Here is a 23055-nt window from a genome sequence, read left to right on the forward strand (position 1 = left end):
CTCCATTTCAGGTCTTGTAATAATCTGTCTGAATACACAACTGCATGGTCACTCTCAAACACCATTTTTGCCTTAAGCACCTTAGAACCTACAGAAGCCAACTGGATTTAAATCAAAATTATTCAGTTTAGGCCCACCAACTGGCCCTACCACACTTATTTGAACAGTCAAACTCTCAGTTCCTACAGAAAGAGTCAGGCAAAGGTTCTGGTGCCCTCAGGCCTAGGGATGCAAAGTACACAATCATACCTGCCCTTCAGGGTGTGCCTACACCCTTCTAATTCCACATTATCCCAGGTCTGACAGGAAAGTGGGAAACCAATTCTGCTTCAGAGTAAAGAAAAGCTCACTAGCTACTTCATCCCTCCTCTATCTAGTCTCCCTTATGTGGGGATAACATATATAAGACCATCATCACACTACCTACTGCATCCCCAAAGTCCCTCCAAAATGGGAAAATCTTAAATGAGCAGGTCTATAACCATCCAGACATTCTCCTAGGAGCCAGTCTTTTGTGCCAGAGTTAGCTACTCTGCCAACAAGCCCCCGGCATGCCGTACAAACTGTTCCCTCAAAGTTTAATTTTCAAATTATAGTTTCCTATTAACTCTGTATTCTTGGTGAGATGTTAAGCTTATGTGATGATGGCAAAACCCAAATTTCTGTATCCCCAATTTGTGGCCCAGTGTTTTGTGCAAGATGGATGGGCACTCAATATTTGCTGAACGGACAAATAACATTCAATCAGTAAACAGCTATGAGGAAGGTGCAGACTCTGAACTGGATTCTGTCACAGCTTCACTTTCCCACAGAAACAGGTCTGCCTGATTAAACTACTGACACACTGTAGATCAGACAGCTCTCTCACAAGCCACTGGACACTCTTCTCTAGAGGGGGATGCTTTGCAAAGACATCTCAATTCCTTGATGGGTTAGCACAGCCAGGCAGAGGAGAATGTCTGATACAACTAAAGCAGCTGTTATCATTCACAGGGAATCTGGTTGGGTCAAAATTCTTAATTGCAGACAACAGAATCCAACTTGATTAGTTTAAGATAATGATTTATTAAGGGATAAAAATAGTTTACAGAATCACTAGGAGAGCTCAAGAAACACAGGCCAAGGTTCCAAGAACAATTCTTAAAACCACATTGCAGAACTGGACTGCCAAGGGAGTTGCTGTCTCTGGGGTGGATCAGGAAGATGCCAAATAAAAGCCACCAGCCAAATCAGGAAGTTAACACTATAGCTGCCAATTCCAAAACCATTATCTCCTTTGTCTAAATGTGTGCCACCAAAACAGATGGGCCTGCTGCTCTCAGAACACGCCCTCCTTGTGACTAAAGCAATCTTGTTCAAGTGCTTTGTATTGGGGATATCTAAATATCATCAAGGAGACTTAGTTGCATTCCTTACCTGAGTTTAGGAAAAGTGCTTTTTAACTTTCTAGTCTCTCCATGTCAGAAGAGTATTGGAATGGGTGTGGAGACCACCAAACCACAGTCCATCCCTCAAAGAGCATTTCTCTCCACAAGATCCATCAGGAGAAATTCTCAGAACACTCACTGGTAACAATTCAATACTCTACTGCAGTAGTATCTCAAAATCACCAGAGGTCCTATTAAAATCAGATTCTGATACAGTAGATCTGGGTTGGGGTCTGAGATTTTCCATTTCTAACAAGCTCCTGGCTGATGCTGATGTTGCTGGTCCATCAATTACACTCTGAGTAGCAAGAGCTTAAACCAGGGATTATCTATGGTTCACCACCGTTTTTATAAATAAGGCTTCACTGGAACATAGCCAGGCCCATTTGTTTATGTATTGTACTGTCTATGGCTACTTTTGCCCTATAATGGCAGAGTTAAATAGCTGTGACAGAGATTGTATGGCCTGTATAATAAATTTTTTCTCACTCTAAAATTACATATTATCTATCCATTCTTTTTTAGAGTAAACATATATTGGCACATTCCAATGTAAGCTAAATTTCTAACAAAATAAACATTTTATCTTCTCTTATTGGCCATGCTTTTAAATTGCTTTAAAGTCTAAGAGGTTTCTCAAAGTCAAATCCTAGACGGTGACGGCTTAGTAGTTTAAACATGGAACCGACATTCCCTTTGCCAGGAAGTTTAAGCATAAGCATACAAAGCAACTCTGAAACACCGACATAAAGAGTCTGCTGGGGGACCCTTTGGGGAAAATTTCTTTTCTCTCAAATAAAGAGACCCATGAGGTGAAACTGTGTGTCCTGCATTTGAAAAGAATGTGTAAGGATAGAGCTGTGATAACCATCTTGTCACTACAAGGAGACAAGCCCGCAAACAAAAGCCAAGGATGGCAGAAGAGAAAGAAGGGAAGCACTTGGGCTCTTAATACTGCTGAGTCAGCCAACCTGGGACTTCTTATTATGCGATATAATAAGCCTGTTACAGAACAGTAAGGGGCATAATATTATTTTCAGCTGCATACATCCTAAGTGGTAGAGTGATACATAATTCACAAAGGACATTCATACTCATGTTCTCGTTTGAACCTCATATTCCCCTCCCCTCCCTCCATGATGGAGTAAAAAGGAAGATATTCAAATGAAGGACAAAAGTCCAGGGTGTTTAAAGTTATTTTCTCATAGGTCACGCAGCTATTAACTGACAGTAACAGAAACCAGGATTCCCACGTCAATGTTCTTTTCATTACACCCTCTCTTGATTCCATTTGGTTCTACCCGGGTTAGCCTCCTTACCACCCACTGTAAGAATGCCTTCTCACATCCTCTCTGTCAATGTTTATCACTTTCTATACTCTGACAATTTCCATTTAGGGTATTTCTTCAGCATCTGCATTGTTCCAACCATTGTTCCATCTATCAAAGAAGCATGTATTAATTACTTTCTGTTCACCTAGCTGTGTACTAGGCATGGAAAGTAAGGATTTTTGATGGGAAACGTGATTTTTGCCCTCAGAGAGAACAATCTAGTTATGGGTATAAGATAGATGCTACAATGAGAGTGACATAAGCCAATGTAAGTGTAGGAATTCAGAGTGAGGAAAGAATTCCTTGGATATTCCAAGGGTAAGATTATTCTAAGAGCACTTCATCAAAAGCTGGATCCAAAAGAAACATAGGAATTAGACTTGTTGTAAGTGCTTTTTTATATGTTCTTAGAATCAATCTTATATTCCCTCTGGAACAAGGAAATGGATTTCAAAAGCACTACCTATGTGGCCAGGGCGAGTAAACTGGGGCGATAAAGCTTACACAACTGAGTTATGAGTCCTAAATGAGATAACAAGAAAAGCAGAGCATGGTGTCACCACAAGAGGCTATGGAAAAATAATAGTTCGTTTCTCTGGGTTTTCAATTGCAATCTGTTTCTCAGTTTCCCCCAGGCTGTAAATTCTTGAAATAAGAGAACTAAGAGTCCATGACTTTACTTCTTTTATTTATTCTGGAGTATCTAGTAGGATATCATGGCCCAGGAACTCAACACATGTATGTGGAACATCATGTGACTAAATAAAAAAGAAGATACTATTCTCTCTCAAGTTGTACCATTAACAGTATCTGGCTAACATAATCACTCCTTTAGCCACAGTTCCATGGCTAGGATGCAGTAAGCACAGGAAAACAAGGGCCTCCTCCAAAGCTTAATGACAATGAGTCATTTATACTAATGCTGCCTGTTCCTCTTACTCCTTAGAGGTCAGGAACTATTTGCTTCTTGATTTTGTGCCACAGGTAACAGGCAGTGTTGGAAGAAATCCATGGGAAGTAACAAAAGTCTGGCATAAAAAGTCATGGGAAGTCTGGCACAGAGTGCCGGTTAACATTACCATGTCACAACTCCATCACCCGGTAATAAAGGAGGGACCGGATAACCATTCATTGCCCTTTTTCTGTGACTGTATATTTATTCAGTGAGTGCTGACATATTAAAGAACTACACAGATAGGACAGGTTCATGATGACGAGGCACAGCTGTGCCCTCTCTTCTCCATGCATACCTCCTCACAGACTTCACGAACTGCTGCCACACTTGGCTCCTCCTCGGGCTCCATGCCTCCTCCAGGGACAATCCATCTGTCTGGATGGCGACTACTGCTCACGAGTAGCACCTGTTAAGTCACAAAGGTTGCATGGGGGGGTTAAAAATTCAAAGACACATCCACACAAATTCAGAGTTTAAACACCACAAACATCAAAGTAACCAAGACCCATTCTTTGTTTATGCCTTCCCAAATCACTTCTTGCAAAGTAGCTTTCGTTTCTATTTGAAAAAGTAGGCATCAGCTAGTAAAAGCAGAAGGGCATCTGAAGGCCATTATCTCTACACTCCCCTCAGATGCTCAATCACCTGCTCTATTTATCCCCTCCTTGTTCCTTTTGCTAGAGCCCTTTGAACACAGACCTGACAAGGTGAATAGAAGACTTCAAAAAAAAAAAAAAAAAAAAAAAAAGAGGATTGTCACTGATGAGCCTGTCAGCACTGAAAAAGCTGGCCAGAAGACAAAAGGCCCTTGGCCATGATTGCCATCATGGTCCAACACTTTCCCTCCAAGTTTCTCACCCATGAACTGGGAGCTGTATCCCAGTTCCTGCTCCATCAGATGGCCACAGGCCAATACAATACACCACCCTAGACTCTAAGGGACCCTAATTCTCTTGGCCACATGAGAAGTAGAAAAATTCCTTTCATCACATTTTCAGCTAAACTAAAACTGGACTTTTTTAAAAGACTTAGCCAGCATTCTGGTCAGAGTTGAAATAAAAATCTAGAATTTGCCTAGTTCCTTTTCCTTACTTACCCCTCTCTGTAGGAAAGATGCTAAACAAAGTCAGTTAGACTCCCTGTTTGGAGGCTGAGTTGAGTTGGCATTATTTCCAAAACTAAAGGAATCTTCAACTGCTCCCTAAACCATTACTTTCTGATGATGACCTGTGAGCCTACAAACCAAACTCTGCAACCATCCTTGTTGCCTCAAATGAAATGCTACTTCCTTCTCTGGCCCTTATAGATTCCACCACTGCCTTCTAGTTACTAACATTCCAGTCATCCCCAGCCTCTTCCCTGAGGTCTCTGCAGCTATGGACCCTTGGAAACTCTACCTTCATCCTCAGTCCCTCTTGTTCCTGTCATAAGAGATTCTTCTGATGCTCATCTACAAAATATGTGATCTGTAGATTCAGAGAAGATCATGGTGTTATGGGAAGGAAATCCATGAATCCATACTCAGTCACTAATATATAGGCCATGGACTGAAAACTTGTCTTAAACTTACAAGTACTATTTTTCAAATATATTTATAAGCTCTGCTTTGATTAATACAATGTGAAATAATTTAAAATACTATGAAATCCACAGTAGTTTTTGGTTGATATGTATATATACTCAGTTAAAAGATACTACAAGAGCCAGGTGTGATGGCTCACACCTGTAATCCCAGCACTTCGGGAGGCCAAGGCAGGAGGACTGCCTGAGCCCAGGAGGTCAAGACCAGCCTGGGCAACATGATGAGACCTCGTCTCTACAAAAAAAAAAAAAAAAAATTAGCCAGGCTTAGTGGTGCACACCTGTGGTCTCAGTTACTTGGGAGGACTGCTTGAGCCCAGGAGTTTGAGACTGCAGCGAGCTATGATCAAGCCACTGTATTCCAGCCTAGGCCACAGAGTGAGACCCCCATCTCAAAAAAAAAAAAATCCTCTCATTGGACTGTCTCAGACCTTATACAAAATCAAAATGGACCAACAACCTAAATGTAAGAGCTAAAACTATAGCACATTTAGAAGAAAACACAGGGGTAAAATGTCATGATCTTGAATTTGGCAAGATATGCCAAATTCTTAGATATGAAGCATGAGCAACAAAAGGGCAAACAAGATAAACTGGAATTTATTGAAATTAAAAACTTCTGTGTAACAAAGGACATAATCAGGAATGTGAAAAGACAACCTACACAATGGGAGGAAATATCTGCAAATTATATATTTAATACAGGTCCAGTATCTAAAACAATAAAAAGATAAACAGTATTTCTACAGAGAAGACATACAAATGGCTAATAAGCACATGAAAAGATGCTCAACATCATTAGTCATTAGGGAAATGCAAAGTAAAACCAAAATGAGATACTACTTCACACCCACTAGGATAGCTATAATTCAATCAACCAAACAGCATAAGAAGTGCTGGCAAGGATATAGAGAAAATGGAACCCTCATACATTGCTGATAGGAATGTACAATGGTTCATTCAGCCACTGTGGGAAACAATTTGGTTGTTCCTCAGTAAGTTAAACATAAAATTACCATCAGATCTAGTAACTCCACTGCTAGGTATACAACCAAAAGAACTAAAAACAGGTACTCAAACAGACACTTCCATACAAATGTTTATAGCAGCATTATTTACAATAGCCAAAAGGTAAAAACAACTCAAATATCCAATAAGAGTGAATGAATAAACAAAATGTGGCCTATACACACAATGGAATATTATTCAGCCATTAAAAAAATGAATTACTGATAGATGCTACAACATGGATGAACCTTGAAAACATGCTAAGGGAAGGAAGCCAGGCACAGAAGGCCACATATTGTATGATTCCATGAATATGAAATACGCAGAATAAGCAGAATAAGCAAATCCAGAGAAACAGAAACCAGATTGGTGGTTACCAGGAACTGGGGGAAGGGGAAAATGAGCAGCAACTGCATAACAGGCACAGGGTTTTATTTGGGGAAAATGAAAGTATTCAGAAAGTAGATATGAAATGGTGATTGCCAAATGCCAATGAATTGTTCTTTTTTTTTTTCCGATGGAGTCTCCCTCTGTTGCCCAGGCTGGAGTGCAGTGGTGCAATCTTGGCTCACTGCAAGCTCTGCTTCCTGGGTTCACGCCATTCTCCTGCCTCAGCCTCCCGAGTAGCTGGGACTACAGGCACCTGTCACCACGCCCAGTTAATTTTTTGTGTTTTTAGTAGAGATGAGGTTTCACCGTGTTAGCCAGGATGGTCTCGATCTCCTGACCTCATGATCCACCCACCTCGGCCTGCCAAAGTGCTGGGATTACAGGCGTGAGCCACTGCGCCAGGCTGAATTGTTCATTTTAAAATGGCTAATGGTATGTTACATGAATTCCATTTTGATTAAAAAAAAAGAAAACTAGTTTTGCAATCACAGTTTTTTGTTTTGTTTTGTTTTGTTTCTTTGAGACGGAGTTTTGTTCTTGTTGCCCAGGCTGGAGTACAGTGGTGCAACTTTGGCTCACTGCAATCTCTGCCTCCCGGGTTCAAGTGATTCTCCTGCCTCAGCCTCCCGAGTAGCTGGGATTACAGGTGCCCACGACCACGTCCAGCTAATTTTTTGTATTTTTAGTAGAGACGGGGTTTCACCGTGTTGGCCAGGCTGGTCTTGAACTCCTGACCTCAGGTGATCCACCTGCCTCGGCCTCTCAAAGTGATGGGATTGTAGGTGTGCGACCATGCCCAGCTGATCACTGTCATTTTTTAAAAGCTGAAGGGAGTCGGCTGGGCGTGGTAGCTCACGGCTGTAATCCCAGCACTTAGGGAGGTCGAGGCGGGCAGATCACAAGGTCAGGAGATCGAGACCATCCTGGCTAACACGGTGAAACCCCATCTCTACTAAAAATACAAAAAATGAACCGGGTGTGGTGGCAGGCACCTGTAGTCCCAGCTACTCAGGAGGCTGAGGCAGGAGAATGGCGTGAACCCGGGAGGTGGAGCTGGCAGTGAACCGAGATTGCGCCACGGCAGTCTAGCATGGGCGACAGAGCGAGACTCCGTCCCAAAAAAAAAAAAAAAAAAGCTGAAGGGACTCAGTGCTACTACTTTTTTCCCCCAGAGTCTACACCTCAATGGAGTAACCTTCCAGAAGGTTATCCTTACTTTTGTTTTGTTTTGTTTTGTTTTGAGACGGAGTTTTGCTCTTGTTGCCCAGGCTGGAGTGCAATGGCATGATCTTGGCTCACCGCAACCGCTGCCTCCCGGGTTCAAGCAATGCTCCTGCCTCAGCCTCCCGAGTAGCTGGGATTACAGGAATGCACCACCACGCCCGGCCGATTTTTGTATTTTTAGTAGAGATGGGGTTTCTCCATGTTGGTCAGGCTGGTCTCGAACTCCCGAACTCAGGTCATCCGCCCGCCTTGGCCTCCCAAAGTGTTGGGATTACAGGTGTGAGCCACCGCGCCCGGCCAAGTTTTATATTACTAAATCATAAAACTACTGCCACACTCATTCTCTTCAATAACTGTGACCAATCTTACATTTTACAACATTCTTTATCAAAAGAAAATAAACCCAAATATAAGCATGTAAGTTAATTCGAATTACAAGGTTAAAAAAAAAGGCCTCCAAAGACTGTAGACAAAAGCATTTAAGTCATATTTATCCAACTACAAAAAGATTCAAGAAGAAAAAGTAGTAAAATGGGTTAATCCTCCAGTGACTTGTTGTATAAATAACAACACGTAGTCTTTCTTCCCTTACTTCCCGGTAAAGTGTTTGCCAGCCATTATAAACCTAAGCATTGCTTCAAAGGCTGACTAAGGCCATCCAATGAAGTTACAGTCCAAAAGAAAAACCTTTACAGGAATATTTCAAAGATAAAGCAAAGAAAAGGAAACCTCTGACAAAAGATAAGCATTCAATTTCTAAATTTCAATCAATGTGAAATACTAATTAGTAAATCTAGCAAGTGTTATTGCTTTGCACAGTCAGCCATGACTATATGAACTAGGACTACAATAATGAGGCTGAAGGAAGCAAGCCTCATTAGTTTGTAGCCACACTTCAAAGCAAACACTGTTACTGGTAAATAGCTCTCCTCGGTAAGTTTCCTTGACAACCTATTGAAAATTTACTACAAAAAAAAAAAAAGTTTCTGTTTCTGCTTTTTGTAGAGACAGGGTCTCATTCTGTTGCCCAGGCTGAAGCGCCGTGGCAGGATCAAAGTTCACTGCAGCCTCAAACTCCTTGGCGGTAGAGATCCTCCAGCTTCAGCCTCCCGAGTAGCTGGGACTACAGGCACACACCACCATGCTCGGCTAATTTTTAAATTTTTTAAACTTCATTTTTTAGAGATGGGGGTCTCACTATGTTGGCCAGGTTGGTCTTGAACTCCTGACCTCAAGCAATCCTCCTGCCTTGGCCTCCCAATGTGCTAGGATCACAGGCATGAGCCACTGTGCCCACCCACAAAAATTTTTTACTTTAGCCAGTGGTTTTACTCCTTCCTATCATATAAAGTACTAAATGGTGTTCTGTTCAGTAAATTCTTATTCTGAAGTTTGATTTTGACATATACAATTATCTGAAAAGAAATTAAGTGCAAAAGCTCCAAAAAGATTTCAAAAATAATACACTAAGGGGAAAAATTACCTACTCAACAAACGTTCATTAAGTAACATCATGAGCCAGGAACTGGAGAGGAAGAGATTAACTGCACTGCAGTTTGCAGGCAGATCAAAATGGGAAACCAGCTGACCAGGTATCAGACCTTTTTGAAGCTTTAGTCATTGAGACAGGTGATATCTACGCAGAAGTGGATAGAGAGACCCACAGAACACACCCATCCATAGATAGACTCTTGGATTCATGATATAGGTGGCTCTGCAGAGCAGGCAGAAATCAACAGGTGGTGCAGTGACAACTTGTTTTCCACATGGGCACAGAAGAAAAAACATTTTATTGATTAGTGACATGTGTGCAGTGAAATGATAAATCTGTGGGAATGATAAACCTAATGAAGGGAGGGAGAAATACAGCAGGAACACCATTGTTTTATTTCTTACAAATTGTTGTGGGGTTTTTTGCTAAATAGTGCTTAATACAAATTTTTAAAATATAAAAGAAACCCATAGTCCCTGCCCTATAGGAACTGAGTATCTAGTGAAAGACCAAAAAAAGAGTAATTATACGGAGTGAGAAATACTTAGCTTGAGGATACCACAGTGATAATGAAAAGAGATACCTGCCCGGACGTACTGGCTCATACCTGTAAACCCAGTAGTCCTAGTTACTTGGGAGGCTGAGGTAGGAGGTGCACTTGCCAGGAGTTCAAGACCAGCCTGGGCAACATACTGAAACCCCCATGTCTACCAAAAAAATAAATAAATAAATAAATAAATAAAAATAAAAAATTAGGCCAGGTGCAGTGGCTCATGCCTGTAATCCTAGCACTTTGGGAGGCTGAGGCGGGCAGATCACTTGAGCTCAGGAGTTCAAGACCCCGTCTCTACAAAACAAAAACAAAAACAAAAAAATTAGCTGGGCACGATGGTGTGAGCCTGTAGTCCCAGCTATGCAGGAGGGTGAGGCAGGAGAATCGCTAAAGCCCAGGAGGAGGAGGTTGCAGTGACCCAAGATTACATGACTGCATTCCAGCCTGGGCAATGGGAATGAAACCCTGTCTCAAAAAAACAAAAGCAACAACAGAAACCGCCCCCCACCAAAAAAAAAATAGCCAGGCGTGGTGGTGCATATTTACAGTTCCAGCTACTGGGGAGGCTGAGTTGGGACGATTGCTTGAGCCCAGGAGGTCGAGGCTGCAGTGAGCTATGATCCCACTACTGCACTCCAGCCTGAGTGACAGAGCAAGACCCTGTCTCAAAAAAAAGAAACAGGCTGGGAGCGGTGGCTCACACCTGTAATCCCAGCACTCTGGCAGGCCGAGGCGGGTGGATCATGAGGTCAGGAGATCGAGACCATCCTGGCTAACACAGTGAAACCCCGTCTCTACTAAAAATACAAAAATTAGCCGGGCGTGGTGGCGGGCGCCTGTAGTCCCAGCTACTCAGGAGGCTGAGGCAGGAGAATGGTGTGAACCCGGGAGGCGGAGCTTGCAGTGAGCCAAGATCGCGCCACTGTACTCCAGCCTGGGTGACAGCGCAAGACTCCGTCTCAAAAAAAAAATAGAAAGAAACAAAAGAACAAGTCAGACTTGGGGAGTAGGGGATGCATCATAATGGAGAAATGATATGGGAAGGTTTCTCTTTTTTTTTTTTTAGACAGGATCTCGCTCTTTTGCCCAGGCTAGAGCGCAGTGGTGCAATCGTGGCTTACTGCAGCCTTGGACTCCTGAGCTCAAGTGATCCTCCTGTCTCAGCCTCCCAAGTAACTGGGACAACAGGCATGGTTAATATTTTTTATTTTTAAAATAATATATTTATTAACCACCAAGCCTGGTTAATATTTTTTATTTTTACTTTGTAGAGACGGTGTTTTGCCATGTTGTCTAGACTGGTCTTGAACTCCTGGGCTCAAGGGATCCTCCTGAGTTGGCCTCTAAAACCCAATTTGAGTTTTAGAAAGGTTACTTTGACATATGTTGGAGATGGGACAGCATGCTAATGGAGCAGGTTCCTGCAGTAATTCAGGTTGAGAAATGATTAAGACAGTAGGAGGCAGAAGTAGAAGGAAGTGATAGGTTTCCAGATACATAGAAAGAAGAGTCTATAAGACCAAGTGACTGACAGGACGTGGGAATATGACTCCTTGGATATGGGCTGGGTCAATGGTGTAGCAGCCTTCCAAGGAGAATATGGAGGCGTCAGTGGAGGAGGGAACCACAGGGAGGAGTTGTGAAATCATCCTCTGAACATATGAATTTGAGGGTTCAGTGAGACATCTAATGAGTATTTCTAGTGAGAAATTATATGAATGTGGGACTGGAGTTAAGAGGGAAACCGACGGTGATTTTGGAAACAATGGTATCAGAATCTTCCAGCCAGAATGAGACTAACGGAAGGGGAACATGGGCATTTGCAAAGCTCTGGCCAGAGGATCTGACCCCTTTCTCCCTATCCACCCACTATCCACCTTGGTATCAGACAAGTCTCCATTCCTACTGCCAAGGGTATAGTGGGCATAGATATACTCCAGAGATCCTAGGTTAAAGTTCTGGAAATACTCTCCTTAAATAAATTAGATTATCTAGGCCAGGCACGGTGGCTCACGCCTGTAATCCCAGCACTTTGGGAGGCTGAGGCGGGCGGATCACAAGGTCAGGAGATCGAGACCATCCTGGTTAAAACGGTGAAACCCCGTCTCTACTAAAAACACAAAAAATGAGCCAGGCGTGGTAGCGGGTGCCTGTAGTCCCAGCTACTCGGGAGGCTAGGCAGGAGAATGGCGTGAATCCGGGGGGTGGAGCTTGCAGTGAGCCGAGATCGCGCCACTGCACTCCAGCCTGGGCGACAGAGCGAAACTCCGTCTCAAAAAAAAAGAAAAAAAAGAAAAGAAATTAGATTATCTATGGTGATAATCTATGCCATAGGAAATCTTGATTAACAAACTACATGACTGGACATATTACTGATTTCTGGAGAATCAGTTGCATACAGTAAAGCACTCAACATGATCTTGTTTCCAACAATGCAATTCCCTTGACATCTGACAAGCCCCTTAGCACTGCCAATACTGCCAGAGTGCTCTGCTGGTACCCCAGATGGCACCAGGACCAGATCCTATCAAATTTGTGATATGCTCTGCAAATTGCATCTTCAGATGAGCCCTTTAAATAATTTATGTGTCCCTTCATAAAAATAAGGCCAAGATGAAAGTGAGTAATTATCTGTACTTGTTTGGATTCCAGATAAATGGACGTATACTATATTTTACACAGTGTTTTAAAGAACAGCTGTCACAAAGTCTTGTGCATGATGATCCCATAAAATGTTTAAAAGATGAGTAAAGCTGAGTATGAGGTTAAATAACTTGCTGAAAGTAAATCAATAAATTATCACAGGGCCAAGCACAGAAGTTTCAGTTTCTAGAGCTTTAAAGCCATTCTACTATTTTTAATAGTTATTTTAAAAATTTAAAACTATTTTTTTTAGCTACAGAGGAACTAAAAAAAATGCTAAAAGGAGGAACCCCTAGACATAAACAGTCAATTTACAAAATGCCTTATAAACATTGCTTCACCTTAGTTAGCTTATCAGGCTGCTTATTTAATCAAAGAGGAAATTCCCTGCCTAGTACAAAGAAACACCATACTGTGCTATGAACAGATATTCTGACAGTTTTTATCTTGGGAGCAACAAGATTATTTTAAGAACAATATGAAAAGGTTTCCACAGATACAAACTATTACACAGATATCGGCGCCAGGCGCAGTGGCTCACATCTGTAATCTCAACACTTTGGGATGCGCACTGACAGAAATTTAAAAAAGGAAAAAAGAACACTTTGGTGGCCAGGCGCGGTGGCTCACCCCTGTAATCCCAGCACTCTGGGAGGCTGAGGTGGGGGTATCACTTGAGCCTAGGAGTTTCAGACCAGCCTGGGCAACACATTGAGACCTCGTCTCTACACTCCCCTGCCTAAAAAAAAAAAAAAAAAAAAAAAAAAAACACTTTGGGAGGCCAAGATGGGAAGATCTTTTGAGGCCAGGCGTTCAAGACCAGTCTGGGCAATATGGAGAGACCTGTCTCTACAAAAAAAATTAGCCAGACCTAGTGGCTGGCTGAGGCAGGAGGATCATCTGAGCTCAGGAGATTGAGATTACAGTGAGCTATGATTGTGCACTGCACTCCATCCTAGGCAATAAGGCAAGACCATGTCTTTAAAAAAAAAAAAATTAGAGGGCCAGGCGCGGTGGCTCATGCCTGTAATCCTAGCACTTTGGGAGGCCAAGGCGGGCATGTCACCTGAGGTCAGGAGTTCGAGACCAGCCTGGCCAACATGGTGAAACCCTGACTCTACTAAAAATACAAAAATTAGCTGGGCGTGGTCGTGGGCGCTTGTAATCCCAGCTATCGGGAGACTGAAGGAGGAGAATTGCTTGGACCCAGGAGGTGGAGGTTGCAGTGAGCCGAGATCGCACCATTGCATTCCAGCCTGTGCGACAAGAGTCAAACTCTGTCTCAAAAAAAAAAAAAAAAAAAAAGAAATAGAAAAAATATACATACACACAGATGTATCATTCTTAAGTGAGTCCCCAGGGTGTACAGAGATTGCCTCTGTACAGTGCAATTGGCAGTGCTAAGGATGAGGTGCTTTACTTTAAAACCTTGAGTATGGCTTGAATATTTTAGAACAAATATTTAAGATGTATAAATGGAGGTGGGCATGGTGGCTCACACCTGTAATCCCAGCACTGTGGGAGCCCAGGAGTTCAAGACCCACATGGGCAACATGGCGAGGTCCTGTCTCCACAAAAAAAACAAAAAACAAAAAAAAACTTATAATTGGCCAAGAAGAATCCCAAACATTATTTCCTAGGAAAATTCTGAAAGCCAAATAAAGTGAATGAAATATTTAAAATGCTCCAGTTTCTTTAGGTTATTTTATTATATCATTATTTTTTGAGACAGGGTCTCACTCTGTCGCCCATGCTGGACTGCACTGGTGCCATCTTGGCTCACTGCAGCCTCAACTTCCCGGGCTCAAGCAATCCTCTCAACACCCCCCACCCACTCCAGCAGCTGGGACTACAGGTGTGCACCACCACACCTGGGTAATTTTTGCATTATTTGTAGAGACAGGGTTTCACCGCGTTCCACAGGCTGGTCTCAAACTCCTGAGCTCAAACAATCCATCTGTTTCAGCCTCTCAAAGTGCTGGAATTACAGGCATGAGCCACCATCCCTGGGCCTTGAGCTTATTTTAATAAACAAAGCCACAGCAACATTTCCTGACATCCATGAATTGCATAACTTTCCCACAGTCTTAGAACTACAGGAATACACTGTAAAATCCCTGCTCATCAATATGCTGATTTTGCCAAGCCATGTACCAAATGATAGCCTCCATAATACATGCTCAAACAGAAGACATTCACTGTAAACTCAAGGGCAGGTATTGTGTTCCCAAGGTAGCATGAACTTATTAACCACAATTCAGTCTAATTTAAGATGTCAAAGTTTAAACCACAAATGTACACTGTCATCTTTATAGAGGAGGACAGTCAGGAGACTTTGGGTTACAGGTCTGCCTCTGACACCAGTCACATAAATGCAATGAAAAAATTATCTCTCTCTAGACTTCAGCTTTTTTAGTTTTAAAATGAGATGGTCCAAATCTAAAATTCTTTCAGCATTAATATTCTGTTGTTCTAAACTGATAGAGGTATATGTGTCTAGAATTCGTCTTCCTAATTCTACTCTTTTCAAACATCTATTTTTTTAATAGTACATAATGTATATATTCAAAGGGTATAAAAAAACATAATGAAAAGCAAGCCTTTTCTCTTAACTCTGTCCCAAGAGGCACTTCTTGTGAAGACTTCTAGAGATATTCTAACATATGAGTATAAACAAATACATATTTATTCTTTTCTTTCCCCTTTGTCAACCCCAATAGTAACCCATTATACACATTGTTCTACTTTGCCTTTTCACTTAAATCCTGGAGATCATTTTATCAGTACATTCTGAGAGCCCCTTCCTTTTTTTAAATAACCACAGGGTATGTTTTTAAAACTTATTATTTGTTATACACAAATTTCAAACATGCATAAAAGCAGAGAGAAAATATAATGAATTCCTAAGTAGTCACTGTCCAGCTTCAATAACTATCAATGTTTGCCAATCTTGTTTTACTTACCTATACACAACTCCCAAGTATTTTTTTTTTTTTTTTTGAGACAAGAGTCTTGTTCACTACAACCTCCAACTCCGGGGTTCAAACGATTCTCTTACCTCAGCCTCCCGAGTAGCTGGGATTAAAGGTGCGTGCCATCACATCCAGCTAATTTTTCTATTTTTTTGGTAGAGACAGGGTTTCACCATGTTGGCCAGGCTGGTCTCAAACTCCTGACCTCAAGTGATCCGCCTGCCTTGGCCTCCCAAAGTGCTAGGATTACAGGCATGAGCCACACCCAGCCTTGCTTTTGTTTTTGTTTTTAAGACAGGATCTCGTTCTGTCACCCAGGCTGGAGTGCAGTGGTGCATCATAGCTCACTGAAGCCTTGACCTCCCGGGTTCAGGCAATCCTCCCACCTCAGCCTCCTGAGTGGCTGGGACTACAGGCGCCTGCTACCATACCCGGCTAATACTTGTTTGTAGAGACAGGGTTTCGCCATGTTGCCCAGGCTAGTCTTTTTCTTTTTTTTTTGAGACAGAGTTGCCCAAGCTGGAGTGCAATGGCATGGTCTCGGCTCACTGCAACCTCTGCCTCCTGGGTTCAAGCGATTCTCCTGCCTCAGATTCTCCTGCCTCAGTCCCCCAAGTAGCTGGGAATACAGGCACCCACCATCAAGCCCGGCTAATTTTTATATTTTTAGTAGAGACAGGGTTTCACCATGTTGGCCAGGCTGGTCTCAAACTCCTGACCTCAGGTGACCCGCCCGCCTCGGCTTCCCAAAGTGCTGGGATTACAGGCGTGAGCCACTGCGCCTGGTCCCAGGCTAGTCTAGAACTCCTGGACTCACGGGATCCACCCACCTTAACCTGCCAAAGTGCTGGGATTACAGGCATGAGCCACTGGGCCTGGCCAGGAGTTTGAGGCTGCAGTGCTCTATGATCATCCTATGAACAGCCATTGCACTCCAGCTGGGCAGTATAGTGAGATTTCATTAAACACACACACACACACACACACACACACACACACATACACACTCTTGGCCGGGCACAGTGGCTCACGCCTGTAATCTCAACACTCTGGGAGGCCGAGGCAGATGGATTTCTTGAGGTCAGGAGCTCGAGACCAGCCTGGCCAACATGGTGAAACCCCATCTCTACTAAAAACACAAAAATTAGCCAGGCGTGGTGGCAGGCACCTGTAGTTCCAACTACTTGGGAGGTTGAGGCAGGAGAATTTCTTGAACCCGGGAGGCGGAGGTTGCAGTGAGCTGAGATGGCACCACTGCACTCCAGCCTGGGCGACAGAGCAAGACTCTATCTCGGGGGGGAAAAAGTATATATATATATATATTTATTTACTTTATATTTGTATTTATTTTATATTTGTATACTTTATATTTTATATTTGTATTTTATATATTTATTTTATATTTGTATACTTATATTTTATTTTATATTTGTATACTTTATATTCTATGCCATACTAAATTCACTTATTTGTTCATTTGTTCTAGTAGCTTTTTGGTGGATTCCTTAGGATTTTCTATATAGATGATCATGTTAACAGCAAATAAAGATAGTTTTGCCTCTTCCCCTCTAATTTATATTTCTTTTATTTCTCATTCATGCCTTACTGAACTGGCTGGGGCTTCCAGAATAATGTTGAATAGAAGTGGTAAGAGCAGACAACCTTATCTATTCCCAGTATTAGGAGGAATGTATTCATTATTTCAATATTAAGTATGATATTAGCTGTTTGGGGTAGATGCCCTTTATTAGGTTAAGGAAGTTCCATTCCTAGTGCTGAGATTGTTTTTTAATTATTATTATAAATGGACATTGGATTTTGTCAAATGCTTTTTCTGAATCTATTGATACGATGATATGGTGGTTCTTTTTTTTAGTCTGTCAGTGTGGTAAATTACACTGACCAGTTTTTAAATGTTAAACCAGCCTTGTATTTTTGGAATAAATCACAGTTAGTCACGATGTATTATTCTTTTGGTATATTGCTGGATGCAAGTTGCTAATGTCTAGTTTAGGGTTGGGGTCTCTGTTCACGAAGGATACAGTGTCTGATGTTCTCTTTTCTTGTAATGTACCATCTTGGTATCAAGGTAATACTGGCTTTATAAAATAGGCAAACATTCCCTCTTCTTTTCTAAAAAATAAAGAAATTATACTTCTTTTATTTTCTAAAAAGTAAAGAAATTGTGTAGAATGATACTACTTCTTAAATATCTTTAGAATTCACCAGCAAAGCCACCTGGCCCTACAGCTGTTTTTTTGGGGGGGTGGGGGGTGGGGGGAGGGTTTAACTACAAATTCAATTTCTTTAATAGACATAGGCTTATTTATTTATTCTTAAAGAAGCTTTAGTAGTTTGTATCTTTCAAGAAATTTGGATAAAAACTCAAGAGGAAAGGGTTTGGGGAACTTCCAGATAGCTGAACATGTGAAGGTCCCTAGAGGGTGGTGTGCCCAGGGAAGGCATGGAAGCTCGGTCCCCTTCCCCCATACCTCCCCTATGCATCTCTTCATCTGTATCCTTTGCAATGTCCTTTATAATAAACCAGTAAACATAAGACCCTGTTTAGGAGTAGAATGGGACAATCTCAAGAGAGAAAGCATGACAGGAGCCACGAAGGGACTGTGTATTTTAAATGCAGGACACACAGTTCCTGGCTGTGTCTGTGATACTGGACATCTTAGGAACCAGATACTTAACAATGTAAGAAGGCCCTGGAAAGAAAGGATAAATGCCTGAGGTAATAGGTACCCCATTTACCCTGATGTTATTGTTACTCATAGTATGCCTATATCAAAATATCTTACGTACCCACAAAAATTAAAAATTACATTTAAAAAAGAAATTTGCCCATTTCATTGAAAATACTGATTTGATTGCCTTATAGTTGTTCACAATATTCCCTTATTATCCTTTCGATATCTGTAAAACCAATACTGATTCTTTCTACAGAATACTTTCATTCCTGATACGGCTGATTCCATGACCAACAGGAAATATACAATATAAGTCTAAAACATCTTGTCAAATCAGATACTGAAGAAGCTATCAAAACCCACTAGGACTGTATCAAAAGGATTCAGGAGTTAACTTGAAAAGGCTCACACTGGTCAAAAATGGGCCAGTAAGAATAACAGCAACAGACTAGAATATCAAATATATTTAAATCCATGAGTTTATACTAATAATTTTTAAGAAATAAAAACAGAACTGGTAACCACTGAAGGATGCCAATGAACCAACTCACTAATTTGGGGAATAATGACAAACTGAGGGGGAAAAAAAAATCAATCATTTATTTTGTGTTTTCTATATAATTATTTTTAGGTATAATTATGGAATTGTGGGGGTTTTTTTTGTTTTCTTTTGACGGAGTCTCGCTCTGTTGCCCAGGCTGGAGTGCAGTGGCGCAATCTTGGCTCACTGCAAGCTCCGCCTTACAGGTCCATGCCATTCTCCTGCCTCAGCCTCCTGAGTAGCTGGGACTACAGGCGCCCGCCACCATGCCCGGCTAATTTTTTGTATTTTTAGTAGAAACAGGGTTTCACCGTGTTAGCCAGGATGGTCTCGATCTCCTGACCTCGTGATCCGCCTGCCTCGGCCTCCCAAAGTGCTGGGATTACAGGCGTGAACCACCACGCCCGGCCAAATTGTGGTTATTTTTTAAAGACAGTATTCTGTTTTAGAAGTACTTACTGAAAAATTACAGATAAAATCATACAGTGTTTGAGATTTGACCCAAAATAATAGTGGAGGGGGAGGAGTGATTACGAATATACATCCTACAAAATTGGCCACGAGCTGATAACAGTTGAAGCTGACTGAGGAGTACATGGGGGTTCACTATACTATTCAGTCCACTTTGGGAGAGGTTTTAAGTTTTCCATAATAAAAGGTTTTTTTTTAGGCCAGGCATGGTGCCTCATGCCTGTAATCCTAGCACTTTGGGAGGCCAGGTGGACCGCTTGAGCCCAGGAGTTCCAGACCAGCCTGGACAACAGGGCAAAACCTTATCTTTCTAAAAACTAAAAAATTAGCGGGGCATGGTAGTGAGCACCTGTAGTCTCAGCAATACTAGGGAGGCTGAGGTGGGAGGAGCGCCTGAGCCTGGGAGGCTGAGGCTGCAATGAGCCGTGATCATCCCACTATACTGCATCCTGGGTGACAGGGCAAGACCCTATATCCCCTGCACCCTGCAAAAAAAAAAAAAAATTTAATGCATTGGTTATTCTTAGCCATTTATACTTTCGTATATTTTAGAATGAATTTATTATTTTTTAAAAGAAACCTGCTGAGATTTTGATTAGTATTATAAAACCAAATAGATTTCAGAAAAAACTGTATGTCTTCTAATCCATAAGCAAGGTATAGCTTTTCATTCATGTAGGTCCTTCAAATCTTTTCTTCTATAACTTGAATTAGCATAATTAGAAGGTCCTGCCTCAGTCCAAGATTACAATGAAATTATCCCAGGTTTTCTTCTAGTAATTTATGACCGTAGTTTTTAATGTTTGTACTTCCCATCTATGTAAAAATTATTCTGATTATAAATATGAGGAAAGAATCCAACTATACTTTTTTCCAGGTATTGCCAGTTGTTCCTATATGCATTGAAGTCTACTTCTGGACTACCTATTCGGTTCTATTGATTCATTTGCCAATTCATGATCCAGCTTAGTAGTATTCTATTTTAAGTATCACAGTCTGCAATATGGTTTCATGGGGCTAACATCACCATACTTGCCCTTCACTCTTCTTTTTCAGAGTTTTACTGGCTTTTCCTCCAAGGTTTCTTACCCATTTGAACTCAGAAACTGCATGAGTAGTTTACACACACACACACACACACACACACACACACACCCCTTATAATTTCTACAGGAATCAAGTTGAATTTATAGATTAATTTACAATAATCGACAGGATGTTGAAACTTCCCACCTAAGAGCAAGATACTTTTTCAAGTTTTTTCAATAATATTTAAAAAGTTTTCTCTGCACAGACCTTATCTATGTCTTAAGTTTATTCTTTTTTGTTACTGTTATAATGGGTTCCTAACTCCATCCTATGGCTTATTATTTCAAAGGAGTCACAGAAAATTTTCACAGGTTAGTATTAAAATACTAATTCCACACATAAGCACAATCAAGTGATTATGTGGAAATTATTTTTTAAAGTAAAAAAGAAATTTTTACTTTATACCAACAGATTGTAAACCATGATGGCCTGGCCAGATGCCCAGCTAGAGCCATGAAATATGAAACCCACGCCTCACAGGGGGGCCAGAGCTAGGACTGGGCAGAGGAGCAATAACCAGAGAGTAGACAGGGCACAAACAGCTCTTCACGGATGTATGAATTCAAGTTTATCGTTCTTACAAACATGAGAACAAAAAAAAGAGCCAATCATATGGTGGACCAGGAATAATACAGTAACTATATAGGAGAAAATTAAGATAGAAAGATAGTTATTGCAAGGAAAATATTTTTATGTAATTTCAAGTACTATGTCACAAATTTTTGTGTTCTGAAATGAATTAAATTTAACCATCAGACTGTTTTATTCTACTGGAAATAACATTTACTCAATTTAGGAAGATAAGGAGTTATCACAATAAATCACAGAAAAACCTAAGTAACGACCACATTAAGATTGAGAATTCGGCCAGGTGCGGTGGCTCATGCCTGTAATCCCAGCACTTTGGGAGGCCGAGGTGGGCAGATCACAAGGTCAGGAGATCGAAACCATCCTGGCTAACACGGTGAAACCCAGTTTCTACTAAAACTACAAAAAATTAGCCGGGTGTGGTGGCGGGCGCCTGTAGTCCCAGCTACTTGGGAGGCTGAGGCAGGATAATTGCTTGAACCTGGGAGGTGGAGGATGCAGTGAGCCGAGATCGTGCTACTGCACTCCAGCCTGGGGGACAAGAGCAAGACTGCCTAAAAAAACAAAAACAAACAAACAAAAAAACTCATACCTATTTAGCAGTTATTCCCTGTCCCCATCCTCCCACTTCCTGGCAACCATCAATTTGTTTTTTGTATCTATGGATTTGCTTATTCTGCATACTTCATATAAATGGAAGCATACAATAAATATGTGACCTTTAGCGTCTGTCTTCTTTCACTTAGCATATTTGAAAAGTTCATCCATATTGTAGCATGTATCACCACCTCATTCCTTATAGCTGAATAACATTCCAATTTATGTATACACCATATACCACAATGTGTTTATCCATTCATCTACTGGTTAACATTTGGTTGTTTCTACCTTTTAGCTATTGTAAATAGTGCTGAACATTCCTCTACAAATGTTTGAGTACAAGCTTTTCAATCCCTTTAAGTACATACCTAAAAATGAAACTGCTGGATCAAACATAATTCTACATTTAAGTTTCTGAGGACCCACTAAACTTCCACAGCAGCTGAGCCATTCTGCATTCCCACCAGCAATGTATGAGGTATCCAATTTCTCCACATCCTCACTAACACTTGTTATTTTCCACTCTAGTGGGTGTGACATGTTAAAACTAGTTTTAAGAATGTCTATACGCTGGGAGGCTGAAGTGAGCAGATTGCTTGAGTCCAGGAGTTGGAGACCAGCCTGACAAAATAGAAAAACCCCATCTCTACAAAAAATACAAGAATTTAGCCAGGCATGGTGACACATGCCTGTAGTCCCACACACTCAGGAGGCTGAGGAAGGAAGATCACCTGAGCCTGGGGAGGTTGAAGCTGCAAGGCTGCAGTAAGTGGTGATTGTGCCACTGCACTCCAGCCTGGGAAACAGAGTGAGACCCTGTCTCAAAAAAAAAAAAAAAAAAAAAGCTAAAAACAAAAACAAAACAAAACAAAACAAACGCCGGGCACAGTGGCTCACACCTGCAATCCCAGCACTTTGGGAGGCCAAGGTGGGTGGATCACCTGAGGTCAGGAATTCGAGACCAGCCTGGCCAACATGGTGAAACCCTGTCTCTACTAAAAATACAAAAATTAGCCAGGCATGGTGGTGGGCACTTGTAATCCCAGCTACTCAGGAGGCTGAGGCAGGAGAATCACTTGAACCCAGGAGGTGGAGGTTGCCGTGAGCCGAGATAATCAAGATTGTGCCACTAGGCGACAGAGCAAGACACCATCTCAAAAACAAACAAACAAAAAAGATTGTCTATAATAACTACTTAACTTTTGAAGGAAAGCAGAATGACCATTTAGTAAGACTGGAAAAAGTTACTCTTATTCTCTCGCCCTCCGCCACAGACACACATGCAGAAAAAGCTCAAATAACTAGTTTTTTTTTCCCCTGGAAAATAAGTTAAAATGTACTACATACCAAGTGAATGAGAAGACACAAGCCACAAGATGGAAAAAAAATATTTTCACAAGACTTATCTGATAAAGGATTCATCCAAAATATACACAGGACATTTAAAATTCAACAATAAAAAAACCCAATTAAAAAATGAGCAAAAGATGTGAA

At 41.4% G+C, this 23055-nt stretch overlaps 2 protein-coding genes across 2 annotated transcripts in view, besides 2 other annotated features; both read right to left on the reverse strand.

Moving 5' to 3' along the window:
- NUDT3 (nudix hydrolase 3) overlaps positions 1–23055 on the reverse strand; it is a 112991-nt gene that overhangs the window by 58175 nt on the left and 31761 nt on the right. Inside the window, exon 2 of the mRNA NM_006703.4 lies at positions 4009–4119. Coding sequence (NP_006694.1) covers positions 4009–4119 — 111 coding nt within the window. The remainder of the gene's footprint in view (positions 1–4008; positions 4120–23055) is intronic.
- Positions 1–23055, reverse strand: part of RPS10-NUDT3 (RPS10-NUDT3 readthrough) — a 138876-nt gene that overhangs the window by 50660 nt on the left and 65161 nt on the right. Inside the window, exon 6 of the mRNA NM_001202470.3 lies at positions 4009–4119. Coding sequence (NP_001189399.1) covers positions 4009–4119 — 111 coding nt within the window. The remainder of the gene's footprint in view (positions 1–4008; positions 4120–23055) is intronic.
- Positions 8775–8854: an enhancer, noted in NCBI's record as "active region_24381". NCBI's record gives its function as "activates an Ori minimal core promoter by ATAC-STARR-seq in GM12878 lymphoblastoid cells {active_cell/tissue: GM12878}" and the evidence as "EXISTENCE:reporter gene assay evidence [ECO:0000049][PMID:35858748]".
- Positions 16381–16880: an enhancer, noted in NCBI's record as "H3K4me1 hESC enhancer chr6:34322011-34322510 (GRCh37/hg19 assembly coordinates)". NCBI's record gives its function as "activates a minimal SCP1, AML or CMV promoter by ChIP-STARR-seq in naive H9 embryonic stem cells {active_cell/tissue: H9 hESC(naive)}" and the evidence as "EXISTENCE:reporter gene assay evidence [ECO:0000049][PMID:30033119]".

Source organism: Homo sapiens, chromosome 6 (assembly GCF_000001405.40).
Source record: "Homo sapiens chromosome 6, GRCh38.p14 Primary Assembly".
Lineage (NCBI taxonomy): Eukaryota > Metazoa > Chordata > Mammalia > Primates > Hominidae > Homo > Homo sapiens.